Source organism: Homo sapiens, chromosome 5 (genome assembly GCF_000001405.40).
Source record: "Homo sapiens chromosome 5, GRCh38.p14 Primary Assembly".
NCBI classification, from domain to species: Eukaryota; Metazoa; Chordata; class Mammalia; order Primates; family Hominidae; genus Homo; species Homo sapiens.
The window spans coordinates 74,644,930-74,660,206 of NC_000005.10; the positions used below are offsets into that span (position 1 = coordinate 74,644,930).

At 42.4% G+C, this 15,277-nt stretch overlaps 1 protein-coding gene across 1 annotated transcript in view, besides 1 other annotated feature; it reads left to right on the plus strand.

Moving 5' to 3' along the window:
- Positions 1–15,277, plus strand: part of HEXB (hexosaminidase subunit beta) — an 81,266-nt gene that overhangs the window by 4,907 nt on the left and 61,082 nt on the right. The gene's annotated exons all lie outside the window — the stretch shown is intronic.
- Positions 4,120–4,199: an enhancer, noted in NCBI's record as "active region_22671". NCBI's record gives its function as "activates an Ori minimal core promoter by ATAC-STARR-seq in GM12878 lymphoblastoid cells {active_cell/tissue: GM12878}" and the evidence as "EXISTENCE:reporter gene assay evidence [ECO:0000049][PMID:35858748]".

Consider the following 15,277-nt stretch of genomic DNA (forward strand, 5'->3'; position numbering starts at 1 on the left):
TCCGGCTAATTTTTGTATTTTTAGTACAGACAGGGGTCCATCATGTTGACCAAGCTGGTCTCGAACTCCTGACCTCAGGTGATCCACCCATGTCAGCCTCCCAAAGTGCTGGGATTACAGGTGTGAGCCACCACTCCTGGCCTCCTTAGGAGTATTCTTAAGATTGCATCCGAATTGGTTTGATCATATTTTAACATTTCAGTTGCTTCCTACATCCATTATGTGTGTCACCTTATGTGTATTTTGTGAATTAAGCTGGATTGTATAGTATGATTGTTTTTAGAGGTGAGCCCGTGCTAAGTTGCCAGGCTGGAGTGCAGTGGCTATTCACAGGCCGACATGGTTCACTGCAGCGTATAACTCCTGGGCTCAAGCCATCCTCCTGCCTCTTCCTCCTGAGTAGCTGGGACTGCAAGCGGGTGCCATGGTACCTGGCTCCATATAGTATGATTTTTAACTTCAAATTCCAATTGTTCACTACTGCTACATATAAATACAATTGACTTTTGTATTATGATTTTTAATGGAAAATGTTGTGTGAAAGTCTGTCTTTGTCCCGTAAGTACTAAGCACCACTGTTCGTGTTGAGCTCCTCTATTAGGGGCTTGTTATAGATGGGAAATTCATTCTTCCTTTGAGACTCCTTCACCTTATACAGCCCTTCAAGGAGTGACATTTCAAGGAGTAGACAGTTTATTGGCTGCTTACAGGACTGGAGAGAGACATATTTGAGTCACTTTCCTTGTATTACTCTATAAAGTTAGGTCATTAGGAAATCAAGTGATCTAGACTGCTTATGTTGTTTCTACTCCAGGGCCTTTCAAGACAATTATCTTCACAGCCTATTGTAGGTTATAGATTTTAGGGTCAGCATTTAAAACAGCGCTTATTATTTTCTCAGAACAATGTATGGTAGAAATATAGAAAACACAGAAAAGCAAAAGAAGAGCCGCAAACCTATCACTTGGAGATAATGACACTCATTAATCTCCATTTAAGTTCCATTCTTCCTATGTCTGCATACTATTTTTTTTTAACAGTTATGTGATTAAGAGTAGAGACTCTAGAACCAAACTTGGATCCCTACTTTTATATTTAGTAGCTGGGTGTTTGAGGGGCAAGTATGGCAATATCTCGGTGCCTTCATTTCCTAATCTGTAGTATGGGATAGTAACAGTACCTGGCTGGAAGGTTGTTTTGTGGATTAAATAAATTAGTATGTGTAAAGTACATAGAACAGTGCTTGGTATGTGGGAAGGGCTATATAATGCTGGCTTTTATAATGATTCCTTAGTAAACTGCTTAAGGAGAATGATATTCTTGAAACCTGTAGATATTTCCTTCCAAGTAACTCTCCTAAATAAAAGTGACTTGAATCTTTATCAAACTCTTATTTCCACATCTGCTCAGTAGCACTGGGTTAAGGGACACACTGGTGTCTTGAATGAGTTCACAGATCTCTTAGAGTGTTTACTTGAGGCTCTGCTCTTCTTGCACACCCAAAAAGCAGACAGCTTTTGCAACAAAAGCTCAGATTCATGGAGTCTGCCTTTGCCTTTTCCCATCTGTTATTGATACTGTCTTCCTGTTTTGTACTGGGACCACTGGTCTTAAGTTGACAATGAACAAACAATTCATTCTTTTTTTTTTTTTTTTGAGACAGAGTCTCACTCTGTCACCCAGGCTGGAGTGCAGTGGCATGATCTCGGCTCACTGCAACCTCTGCCCTCCGAGTTCAAGCGATTCTCCTGCCTCAGCCTCCCGAGTAGCTGGGATTACAGGCGTCTGCCACCGCGCCCAGCTAATTTTTTGTGTTTTTAGTAGAGATGAGGTTTCACCATCTTGGCCAGGCTGGTCTTGAACTCCTGACCTCGTGATACACCCACCTCAGCCTCCCAAAGTGCTGGGATTACAGGCGTGAGCCACCACGCCCGGCAACAATTCATTCTTCATTCTCCATTACTTTAAAAAACGAAGCTGCTGCAAAGGGAAAAGAATTTAAGAAATCACACGTTTTAAAAAGAAATAGCTAGCTATATTTAGAAGAAGGTAGCCCTGCCAAAACACATCACACATGGAATATAGATGCCTACTTTTTCCTGCCCTGAAGAGCTTGGAGAGTGTGCTTGGTAAAAGCTCACTCAGATCTATCAGAATCACACAAGGCCTCTGTGGGGTGTGGCTTTGCACAACCCAGGGGAATCCTGAACCATTTTTCTCCCTGTTTTTCTTTTGAGTACCCCAAGGCTCCTGGATCCAAACTCTTAATTTGTTCTAAGTAATTACATTCAACAATTGACCGTTGTTTGAAGCAATGAAAATGCAGGTTTTGTTTGGCCTCTATGCTCTGCTTCTAGGGCACAATGCCAAGTCTCTAAGCATGTCTGGGCATGAAGAAGGGACTAGAAGAAGGGACCTTTGTGGTCCAAGGGCTTGCACCTTTGAATGAATATTAAAAGGATTTTATGGTACTCTGCAAGCACAGATGCTACTTACTGCTTATAGCTCAGCTTGGGCAGGAGTCTGAAATCAGGAAGCTGCAAGTTAACATTAGCAGAATGAACAAAGAATGAAGAAAGAGATAGAGACACTGATGCGTGTGTTGTCAGAAAGAAAGTTTCCATAAGTGTTTCTCCTCATGATTTTGAAAACACGACATGAACAAGGATATATACAAGCATCCGCAAATTTCTCTTAGCCTCGTAAGTAATTTTAGAAAACATTCACTATAAGATCCCAAATAAAGTTGGAAGACTTGCAATTTCTTTATCTGAGGATATTTGGAAATATTGACATATCAGGAGGAAATGGTAACTTTTTAAAAGTATGTATATTCAAATAGTTATGTCAGTTTTCATACCCACAGTTATCTGAGAAATTGTGGTTTCATTCATTTAGCCAATCAGTCATTCATTCAACAAATATTTATTTACAGGCATCGTGCTAAGGAATATCCCAGTTTCACTAGGCTTCTCTCCCAGCCTTTCATTGTGATCTTACAGTGTCTAGGCTTGGCCTGCCATCAGTGTACTTGTATTTGCATTTGGAAGGTATCTCCTTTCAACTCTGAAAGACAGAGGTGGTCTAATGGAGGCCAAGAGAACCCATGTTTAGGCTGAAATGCCACCATTTAGCAAATATGTGATCCTGGGCAAAGTATTTATTCTCTCAGACTCAGTTTCTCATCAGTAAAATGGGGCCTAATAATTATAATATCCAGTTTGCAGGGATACTTGAGGATTATAGAGCATAAAAGCACTCTGAAACTGAAGATCTCTGTGAATGGTCTTTTATTTAATGCCTGAGAAACTTGCATTGCCTTAAGAAAATTATCCCAAATGGTCCAAGCATTAGATTATTGTAAGAGATGAAACCATTTCTTCTGACTATTGTATTAAAAAACATATTTACTTTTGTAGTTGACTTTTTAAATTCTTAATATTAGTCAAAGTAGTAAACACACATGGAGGCACACTCAAATAGTACCGAAGGACAAGAGGAAAGGTGCAGTCCCCTGACACCTCCAATCCCCTTCTCCAGCACAATCTGCAGAAAGAACCATGCAACCATTCCTATTTTCTGTTCTTCAGCTTTACCCCACAGTTATATTGCCCTTATACTGTCTTAATAGTGGGAGGAAACATCCCGGGGTTTTCCAAAACTGCACCAATTTCTTCTACACCTCTTCTAGGACACTTGTTGAAAGTGAACAGGAACACCTAGGTACATTCTAATTTTTCAAACAGTGGTTTTCCAGGCAGAATCTTGATCAATGTCATCGGCATACATGTTCATTTTTAAAATTCCATACATAATTTTCTATGGCTTAATAAAATATAAACAACTTTCCACATCCCAATTTTTTGCATGTGTGTTATTATGGACAAAAGTTTGTTTTGCTTTTTTTGCTTGTTTGTGTGTTTCTTGTGCTAGTCACCTAAGAATGAAACTGCCACCCTCAACAAAACCAGGAATGGAACACTGTAGCACAGAACACAAATGCGGGTTTCCACAGACCACAGCACAGAATTTGGGTAAAGCAATAGTGCCCTCTTCTGGCTACAATGAAAAACCAATTATAGAAGGGTCTGAAGATATTCAAAACCAACCCTACCGAAAAAGAAAACAATGAACATTGTGTGTAGACCCTTGTGGATCCGTTTGAGCAGCCACTCTTGCTGTCATAGCCCTAAAGTTTCTGCATTCAAATGAGCAATGCCAAATGTAATCTGGGGTCCGGCCGGCCTGCAACAATGCCGTGAGCTCCTGTGTTCCTTAGACTGGCTAGCAGAGGGCACAGCTGGGTCATGTATTTTCTCAGCAGAGACTGAGCAATTTCCAACTAGCCAACCCAGTGCCACTGCCCCCTCTGTGCACAATAATAATATAAGTTGTCCTGAGGGCCCCTGGACAGGGACTCATTTGTCCAATGGGATGGTCTTGGAGCTAGTAACAATGACTAGAATCCCTAACATTTATATGGTCTTGTGTGCTAGGCACTTTCTATGCTTATTTCCTTTAATCCCCACAGCAACCCTGAAAGAATAATGTCTCACTTCGGTGAAGCCAAGAGCTGAGTGCTTAACCACTGAACTACATTGCCTCCTCTATTTTCCTGATTATCTAAGGCCCATTCTTTTCTGTTCTCTGGAATGCCAGCCTTGAACACCTGGCACATACCCAGTGGATTTCTAAGAAATGATTTTCTTGGTTTACTTTGCTCCATGTTGACAGGCCTGATAAAGGTGTGACAAATGAGAAGCTGGAATCAATTGACTAAAATGGTATAGTTGTGTTTTTTTAATCCACTTGTACTCTTTTACCATAGTTGATTGAATGTCTTACCAGATCATTCTTTCATTCTGGCACACAGTACCCATAAGAGATTGTTACATCAGTTCACAAGCAAAGGAATGTCCTAATCAAATTGCTCTTTTAAATTTAGATCAGACATAGTTCCTTAACTATGGAATGAAGCACTGTTTCCCCAACTATGATCAAATCCCAAATATTGAGAGAAGCATCTTTTTCCCACTTTGAAATCTGTAATCCAAATGTCCAGGCAAGCTCTGGGTATCCTCCTGGAAGGATCTGGAGCAAAAATGCAATGGAAAATGAAGGAAGTGTTTAACTTCTTGGCTGTAGCCAGCAACTGTGACATTATGTTTAAAAACCCACGATGCACAGATTCAGCTGAAGTTTGAAGTCTTTATATAGGACAATGGTTTACAGATGCAAAGCATGCTGTCAGTGAGCGGGCACGGAACCTCCTCGAGCATGTTACAGTGCCTTTCACTTCTTGAAGAAGCCAAACACAGTAAAACCTCAATCGTCTAGAAGCCAGCTCACTAGAATAATTAATAAAACATTTTTCCTACACTGAACTTTTAGAGGACAGATGCTAAACACACAAAAACATATCCCTGTTGGAGCATTCTTTTAAAAGCAAATGATGTTTACCTAAGCAACAAATTGGTAAGATTTACTTGATAAACATGAACTAACAGTATAAGGGCAATATTATTATGGGGTAAAGCTGAAGAACAGAAAATAGCAACTGTTTCATGGCCCCCTCCGCAGATTGGGCTGGAGAAGGGGGTTGGAGGTGTCAGGGGTCTGCTGCCTTTCCTCTTGTCCCTCGGTACTGAGTGTGCCTCCATGTGTAGTTACTACTTTGCCGAATATGAGGAAGTTTTAAAAGTCAACTGCAGGCCAGGCGCGGTGGCTCACGCCTGTCATCCCAGCACTTTGGGAGGCCAAGGCGGGTGGATCACGGGGTCAGGAGATCGAGACCATCCGGGCTAACACGGTGAAGTCCCATCTCTACTAAAAATACAAAAAAAAAAATTAGCTGGGCGTGGTGGTGGGCACCTGTAGTCCCAGCTACTCGGGAGGCTGAGGGAGGAGAATGGCGTGAACCTGGGAGGCAGAGCTTGCAGTGAGCTGGGATCACGCCACTGCACTCCAGCCTGGGCAACAGCGTGAGACTCTGTCTCAAAAAAAAAAAAAAAAAAAAAGGCAACTGCAAAAATAAATGTTTTTTAATACAATAGTTAGAAGAAATGGCTTCATCTCTTACAATGATGTAATGTTTGGATGATTTGGGATAATTTTCATAAAGCAAGTTTCTCAGCCATTCAGTAATATGACCATTCATAGAGATCTTCAGTTTCAGAATGCTTTTATGCTTTGTGATGCTCAGGTATCCCTGCAAGGTGGGTATTATAATTATTGGGCCCCATTTTACTGATGAGAAACTGAGTCTGAGAGAATAAATACTTTGCCCAGGATCACATATTTGCTAAATGGTGGCATTTCAGCCTAAACATGGGTTCTCTTGGCCTCCATTAGACTACCTCTGTCTTTTCACCACTGTGTGTCTAACCCTTAGCGCAGCACACAGTAGTAATGTAACTATTTATAGCATGAATAAATTTAATACGTTTAACAAATGAATGAATGGCTCTTCCTAGTACCTCACAAAGAAATATCAAAATTATGCCCTTTGTTCTATACTCGCTAAGGCAAGAAAGTCTAACAAAACATTTCAAATAAATTTTCACCTTGGACTAACCCCAAATGATTTGCCTTAGGCTATCTAGAAAGCTTCATTTCCAGAATATTTTGCTTAATCAGTTTCATTGGATGCCTCAAGAAATAGGACCACATTCAGGGACATCACTTAAAGGAGGATTCCCCCAAATCTCCAAGCAAGGACGATCATTGACATATGATGAATAAACCTGTACAAATAACCGAGGTCTCTTTTGAAGCATGAACCTTTCTATGGATAAACTAACCAGCATCTCTGTGCTTTTCCTCTCATGATAAGAAGTATTAAATCACCCAAACAGCAAGTCACCCAAAGGCTGAGGTAATTCATTTCTGCTCCTGGGTGATTAATTGGTCTGTATGCCTTGGTGCTAGAAGTGATAAGACTTAGGTAATGGAAAGCCAGAGCATATCTCCAGGTTCACAATAAGTAATGGGTTATTAATTCGAACATGCCAGCACAAATCCTCCTGGCCTGTGGTCAGGTAGGTAAGTCTATTTGCCAGCTCTGTGTAAAACTACTCTTATGCCAGACAAACTAGGACGTGTCTAAAAAGTCAGACACTGCATTCTTTTGCTTGGTCTAATACTCAACTCTGGCATGAGATGTCTACGTGGAAATTAAAATGATGAACTCTTTTACGTGAGTAGGTAATACATATGCATGGATCAACCATAAATAATAATTAATGTCCATTTAGAGTCACAGTGGTTTACCTCTCAACAATCCCAGGAGGTAGATACTATCATTATCTCCATTTTGCTCATGAGGAAACAGGGGCAATGATGCGTTTGAACTTGTGCAAGAATCCAGTTATTAAATGGCAGAATCCAGACCCCTCGCTTTCTTTTTCAGAGCTGTGCTCTCCTAGTGTGTGGGCCTCCTGGCCCACGTGTCCAGCAAGCAAGCCACTCCTGAATACACAGTAGCCGTTTGCCTTCATGTATTTGCTTAATCAATGGTACGAAAATTGCAGCCGCTCCCATGTGTTGGGATGTTTTGCAAAATTTTTTACATTCAAAAGAGTCCTCATAGTTGGGTATAGTTAGGACAAACAGACCATAAGAAAATGTAACTTAATTTTTCTAGAACAGAACTTTTTACCATAAGACCCTAATCTGCTAGTTTGGTGGAAACTTCATTTGAGTCATGTAAGGGATTCCCTCCCTTACCCCCACTACCCCCAGGATTGTGTCCAAGTTCCAAAGTGTTCTTGAGCAGCCAAAAGTCAGGGATAGAGGCTCATCTGGTCCTCCCACATCTGCCCACAGCACCAGCTCCGAGATAACCATCACCCTCTCTGAGCTCCAATAAGGTGGCTACTCAGTCTTGTCTCACTGCAGTCCCAGGCCCATCCCATAAGGAGCAAGGGGGAAAAGCCTCCCTCTTGGGCGACTACACACATCTACGCTAGTGACACATATCCCTTTATATACCAGTCATTTTTAATGCCCTCTTTGCTTTACTGAAATGGAATTTATAGATAATAGACTCTATTGAATATAACTTCAAAAAACTTTAACATTTCTTAACTGTAATGTAAAGGAGGACCCAATAGAAAAGTATAATAAAATTATATGCACTCAAATATGTGAATGCTCTAGCTTGACTACAGTAGGAGGCATTATAAAAAGAGTCAGGTGGTTACACACACATGCAGAGTCATTGTGAATACGCTTCTACAAATGCAGACTGAAACTGGGTACTCTATTGGCCCTTCAAGTACCATGACTCACATTACGTCAATAATTTTTTAAAGTAATTTTTACAAAATGATCAATTCTTGCTAAAGTTTAAAAAAAGTAGCTGTCCCTCAATTTACACAGTAATCCCACTCCTGGATCATTCAGTGAATATTAAAACACTACAAAAATACTATGTAAAAAATATAGGTGGGCAACTTTCCCCTCTGGCCAAGATGAAGTAGCAGGGAATCGCTTTCTGCTCCCACCTGAAACAACAGAAGCCAGCAAAGCATATGAAACCATTGGGTCAGCAAGCTCCAAAAGCCAACCTTCCAGGCCATGGTTTCAGGGCTTCTGTGATCAATTCCTGCAGGATCTCAACTTTAAACCATTAAATACATCCTCTCTCTTTGCTTGAATGTACAATATAGATTTACAGTTTGCTAAGGGGTGCTTTCATAGGAGTTGTGATGTTGATGTCATAGTTACTTTTGGCCAAAAGTGATACTGTCAAGCCCTGATAAAGTTCCTGGAATTGTAAACCTGGCATGACTGAAATCCTTCTGTCAAAATCAGTGGATTGTACACTCTGCTGACCAGAGAGTTATGAAAGGCACAATGGAAAGATAGCACATAAGCCAAAATTCAACAGAAAAAATTTATTGAACGCCTACTATGTGTCTGGTTATAGAGGTCGATAGGTCACATCTTCAAAGAGCTCAGAGACTAGTAGGGGTGTGGTCTAGTTGCAGGCTTCTAAATCAGTAATAAGGCCATGCCCATGCCAAACATCTCAATTTCCCATGCAAAAAAAAGATCAAGGTGTCACTTATCCTATGGACGCCAGCTTGAGGGGCTCCAGGTGTAGACAGTGAGTCCTCCCGGCTCCATCCTGGTGAAGCTGCCCTCACTCCCTTTGCCCCACCCAAGATCATTCTTGTGGACCCAGGTGTAGCCAGCTCACACTAGGTGCTCCTGAGTGTGAGGAGCCAATGCATCTCTGGAATGTGGCTCACTGAAAACATCTGTCTCCAAGACAGCAGGTATTTATCCAGTGCTTCTCAAACTTTAATGTGCACACGAATCACTTGGGGAACTTGTTAAACTGCAGATTCTGATTCAAGAAGTCTGGGATGGGGGCAGAAATTTTGCATTTCTAACGAGCTCCCAGGTGATGCCGACACTGCTGGTCTGCAAAACACACTTGAGTCCAGAGGCCTGACAAGACGCAGCATTGCAGAAGATGGCTGTAACCACAGAATCACACAAAGACATTCCCACGAGATATACTAACAGCTCCCCAATTCCCTGAAATAATGCCTCCTTGGAAGTGAGGTAAACCCTTACTGGTTAAGAGGGTCCAATATATAAATAAATACATTGCATACAGTGTAGAAAAATGAGAGACTTTCTAGGCAGATGAGGGAAGGCTTTCAGGAGGAGGTGATTTCTGAGCTGGGTATGAGAGTTTAGTGGATCTAGAGGGGGAAACGAGGAATAAGGAATGAGCCTCACAAGGCACATGGGGCCTAAAGCCACAGGGAACCTCTGAAAGGTTAAACTAGAAAGACATAATCGAGTATTTTAGAGCAACACTCTGGCTGCCATGTGGGGAGTGCGCTAGAGGGGAGCTAGGCCAGGCCAGGGGCAGCTGTGAATTGAATGTGGGCAATGATGAGGGGCTACACTAAGAGAGAGGCCGGGAAGCAGGACACACACAAACTGCAGATGATGCCATTGACTGGGACAGCGGGGGAGTGGAGAGATGGTGAGCTCAGGACCGCTGAATATGGGAGGTGAAATGTCCAGGGACCTGAAGCTGGTGTTTGACCTGCGGACGGATCTGGATCCCACAGGCACAGGAGCAGGGACCAGGCCATGGGAGCAGGTGAGCCCCCCAAGAGAGGCTCCCAGAGAGGGTGGAGGTGAGTGTAGCACTGGGAAAGCCACACTAGTTTCTCCTTGGTTTTGAGTGCCCCTTCTCATCAGCAACTGCACCAGGTATCTGTTAAGAAAGGGATAGAAAATGACATGGTTGTTCATAACAGGCACTAAAAAGGGCAGCGATAAGAACATCAAGCTTTTAAGAATGTTCTAACCAATACCTGGACAAACATGGAGATAATAACCCTTCAAGCATTAAACTTTTTTTTTTTTTTTTTTTTGAGACAGGATCTCGCTCTGTCACCCAGGATGGAGAGCAGTGGCACGATCTCGCCACTGCAACCTCCATATACCAGATTCATGTGATTCTTCTGCCTCAACTTCCTGAGTAGGTGAGATTACAGGCCTGCACCACAATGCCCAGCTAAGTTTGTTTTTTTGTTTGTTTTTTTAAATGTATTTTTAGTAGAGACAGGATTTCAGCACGTTGGCCAGGCTGGTGTCAAACTCCTGACCTCAAGTGATCCGCCTGCCTCAGCCTCCCAAGTGCTGAGATTAGAGCCATGAGCCACCGCTCCTGGCCTCAGAATCATTCATTTTAATTATTTCTTGAATTTTCTCCACATATATTTAGTGAGCATGTTACTCTCCAAATTGCTAATTAAAAGAAATCAGTTAAAATAATGATTGTCATTTGCATTACTTTTTACATACACAATATCTTTTTATCCTCAAAAATTCTGAATAGAATTTTAGAAAAAATTATCTCCATTTATAGGTAAGAATACTGGCACTTGGAATGATCAAGTGACATGCCTGAGATAATACAGCTGTCAGTAGCAAATTTGAGATTCCTACTGAGATTACCTGTTGCATGATGACAGTCACATAAATATTCTGAAGTGACATAATTCTTCAAGGAAAAGGAAAATATTTAGAATTGACTAGAAAAGGCTATTAAGTAGCTAGTTCATCAATCATTTCATGGACTTTGTAAACAAAAATGAATCCTGAATAAAGCTGGGCCACCTTGGGGTTGGTCTCAGCTGAGCATTGTGTCCAAAAGAATCATGACTCCAACTCCAAAAAAGCCTTGCAACTTAATGTAAGAAGTCCCTTGGAGGCCGGGCACAGTGGCTCACACCTGTAACCCCAGCACTTGGGGAGGCCTAGCCGGGTGGATCACTTGAGGTCAGCAGCGTGGATCACTTGAGGTCAGCAGTTCGAGACCAGCCTGGCCAACATGGTGAAACTCCGTCTCTACTAAAAATACAGAAATTAGCTGGGTGTGGTGGTGGGCACCTGTAATCCCAGCTACTCAGGAGGCTGAGGCAAGAGAATCACTTGAACCCGGGAGGCACAGGTTGCAATGAGCTGAGATCACACCACTGCACTGAAGCCTGGATGACAGAGTGAGACTCTGTCTCAAAAAATAAAATAAAATAAAATAAAATAAAATAAAATAAAATAAAATAAAATAAAATAAAATAAAAGTCAGGAGAAGCAGATGAGGAACCACATTGCACACATTGCATGACACAGAGTGGAACGTTCTAAAATCTTTTTGTTTTGAGATGGAGTCTCCCTCTTTCGCCCAGGCTGTAGTGCAGTGGCATGATCTTGGCTCACTGCAACTTCCACCTCCTGGGTTCAAGGTTCAAGCAATTCTCCTGCCTCAGCCTCCTGAGGAGCTGGGATTACAGGCACATGCCACCACACCCAGCTAATTATTGTATTTTTAGTGGAGACGGGGTTTCACCATGTTGCCCAGGCTGGTCTTGAACTCCTGGCCTCAGGTGATCCACCCGCCTCAGCCTTCCAAAATGTTGGGATTACAGGTGTGAGCCACCACGTCCAGCCTCTAAAACCTTTTTCCAAAGTCTCTCTCATCTCAGTAACAGCCCCCCTTGCTGCTGCTTCGTTGGCTGTGCCCTCTGGATTCCATTGCTTTCCACAGTCACTCCATAACCTTTCTGATAGGAACCCTTTAGCCTCTCAGCTCCCTCTAAGGCTCTTCCACAGTCACCCCTGGTCAACACAGCGACAAGAACAGGAGGCAACACAGAACCTCCCAGACTGTTGGTGGGGAGGGGTCGTGTGTGTGAATTTTTGTTGTCCCTGATAAATGTACACTTTATACCCTCCAGTGGCTTCCATCTCCTTTCCATGAGCCACAAGGCCCTACTTATCCAGTCTCATCTCTGTTCCAGCCACACTGGCTGCCCTGTTTGTCCCCAGATACCCACCACTCTCCAGCCTCAGGACACTGGCACTTACTGTTCTTCTGCCTGGAACTTTTACCATAAATAACCAAGTGACCAGGTCTTTCCTTTCATTCAACTCTCTGCTCAGATAACTCCTATTAGCGAGCCTGTCCCTGAGCTCCTGGTCTAAAATAGCAACCTCCTTGCTCTCCATCCCTTCACCCTGCTGGATTTTCCTTCGGAGCACTTATCACCACTTCACAATGTCTGTTTATTTATTATTTACAACTCCCACAAGGAAGCAAGCTCCACATGGGGAAGAACTTTGTCTATTTTGCTCTCGGCTGATTCCTCATGCACAAAAAATATTTGTTAAATAAAATGAATGGAGAGTTAGCTATTCATCAAAATTTTATTAGAAAGCTAATAAACCCTTAAATAAGAATGTGTTTTCCTTTGAACACTTGACGCTTGTTATTTGTGTAGTCACATGGTTTCTAAAGATCTCTGTGTCCTAGATGCTCCTTTTGCTGCTGTTGTGGCCTCTGTGCCTCACATGTCATGTGGCGTCTTCTGATCTCAGCCTATGTTACCCTTTTGTTGTATATAACAGCCTATGTTACGCTTTTGTTGTATATGAAGTCCGGGTTTTTCAGTCCACTTTCCGATTCAAGCTACTTGGTCTCTTTGAATCCCCTAAGCCTTTGCTCCCAAGAATCTCCAGTGCAAGTGTTCACAGACTGTGACCTAGTTGATGGCAGGTCATCAGCTTCCAGAAATGTCTACTGCCTGTGAATCCCTAGGGTACTGGCATCTTGAAATACTGAAGGCCCCAGAGCCCTTGCCTTGCCAGCACGTCTGATGTCTGTGAGCTTTGGGAACTAGCAGCACTGAGGGCTTCAGCACATGTGCCTCCCAGCATTAGGAGGGCATTCCTGGTGAGAAGGAAAATGGGCCTCAAAGCAACTGCATTTGAAGGCTGGCACCCATGAACACATTTCCTCCTCCAGAATGTCCCTGATGGCCTCTCTTACTGAGCACTCTCCCAGAAGCACCACCACAGATGTCAATAATAACTAAAAAGCAAAGCATTCTGCATGGTAAAGAATTTCGCCTTGCCCAAAGACAGGTCAGCCTTTGCCCTGAGCTGCTTTCTTTGTTTAGGGCAGGGCCTGGACCCACCAGATCTTAGGATGGAGCCAGTCACACCAGAGAGGCCATTTATGTAACTGAGAGTAGAGGCTTTGGGTCACATGGTATCAGTTGACCTAGAGGCTAAGATCAGCTAGGTGGGCAATCAATCAATCAATCAGTCATGCATATGTCTCGGGGCCGCAATAAAACTCCTGAACACTGAGGCTCAAGTAAGCTTCCCTGGGTGGTAATATCCCTTATGTATTATCACTCTTGGGTACCAGGGAAATAATGTGTCCTAGGAATGACAGAAGATTCACTTTTGGAACCTTCCTAAACTCTGCCCTATGCATCTCTTCCTTTGGCTGATTTTAATCTGTATCCTAATCTGTATCCTTTTCCTGCGATAACTAGGAGCATAATAGCTTTTGGTGGGTTCTGAAGTCCTTCTAGTGAATTCTCAAATCTGAGAATGATTTAGGGAACCCACCCTCTAAACTTGCAGTTGGTGTCAGAAGTAAGGCCAATCTTAGGTACTATGTCCTTGAGCCTCACAGTTTGGCTAACTGTGGGTATATCCCCACACCATGAGAAGACTGGAGCTTCTGCTCCAATATGTTTCAATTCAGTACAATATGTAGCTTTCTCCTTGCATTTAACTTTCATTTTAATATATCTTTATATCACATTTAAAAGCTTTTGTGGGAAAAAGAGACTTTTAAAACTGGAAAAAAAAAACTTGTCTTTGGTACTTATATGATATTTGCATCAGTAATCCCAACATACTTTGAGAATACTGAATTTTGAAATTATTTCCCAGAGATGTATAAATTTTTCACCATAAGTCACCTGCCTGAGACCTCACAGCGTTCATGGCAAAACTAAGAACAGAACATGCAGTGCCTGATTTCTTAGTCTGCCCAATAGACCATGGTCAGGGCCAGGAGCACATTAAGCTTGAAACACGCTGGACAGCACACAATCCCCAGTGCAGGGCAGGTGGAGGGCTGATCCTGGAGGAGACAAGGCCACTTGTCTGTCTCAGGGAAATTACAAAAATGATAGCGGGGAAGCCACAGGTGATTCTAAACTCAAAGTTATTGCAGGGTAGTGAAATATGAGTCAGTTAGCAGCAGACATGAAAGTAGAAAGAAAAAATAGAAGGTGTAAAGAAGGATGGGAAGGTTCTTAGAAGATGTGAATATGGAGAAAAAGTGGGGTGGGCCTCCAATAGAAGAAAGGTAAGCGTGAGAGCTGGAGAATAAGCCCAGCTCATTCCTGCTCTGGGAAAAACCATGGATTTTGCTAAATTCTTTCTCCCTTATCTTTTCAATCAGCCAACACTTAACTCTAGGGGACTTCAGCAAAAACTAATATTGCACATGAAGTGCTCTTCTTCAACCCAGGAAATTGAATTTTGATGAGAATAAATGAAATTTAAACCTTAAAACTTTGCTAAATATCTGAAATTTAGTATCATACTTCTGAAGTCAAAGCAAACTCTTAGCGTAGAAATAATGTTCTTTTCCACCTTGAGGATGAAGGGCAGAAGGGGAGGGTGAGGGGAAATGCTCTGTCTATAACTGATGGAATGGAGAGGATTAGGAGACAAAGGCAGAGAGGACATCATCACCTTTACTCAGCAAGAAGCAAAGGGAGAGGAGAGACCCTAATCTTTGTAAAAAAAATAAATGAATAAATAAAGGGACATTTGGAAAAGGAAGAAAGAGGAGGACAGTGGGGTGCAGGGACTCTCAACTTAGCTGGGCTCACTCATCTCATGCCCAACAGCCATTCCTCCCTGATAGCCAAACTCT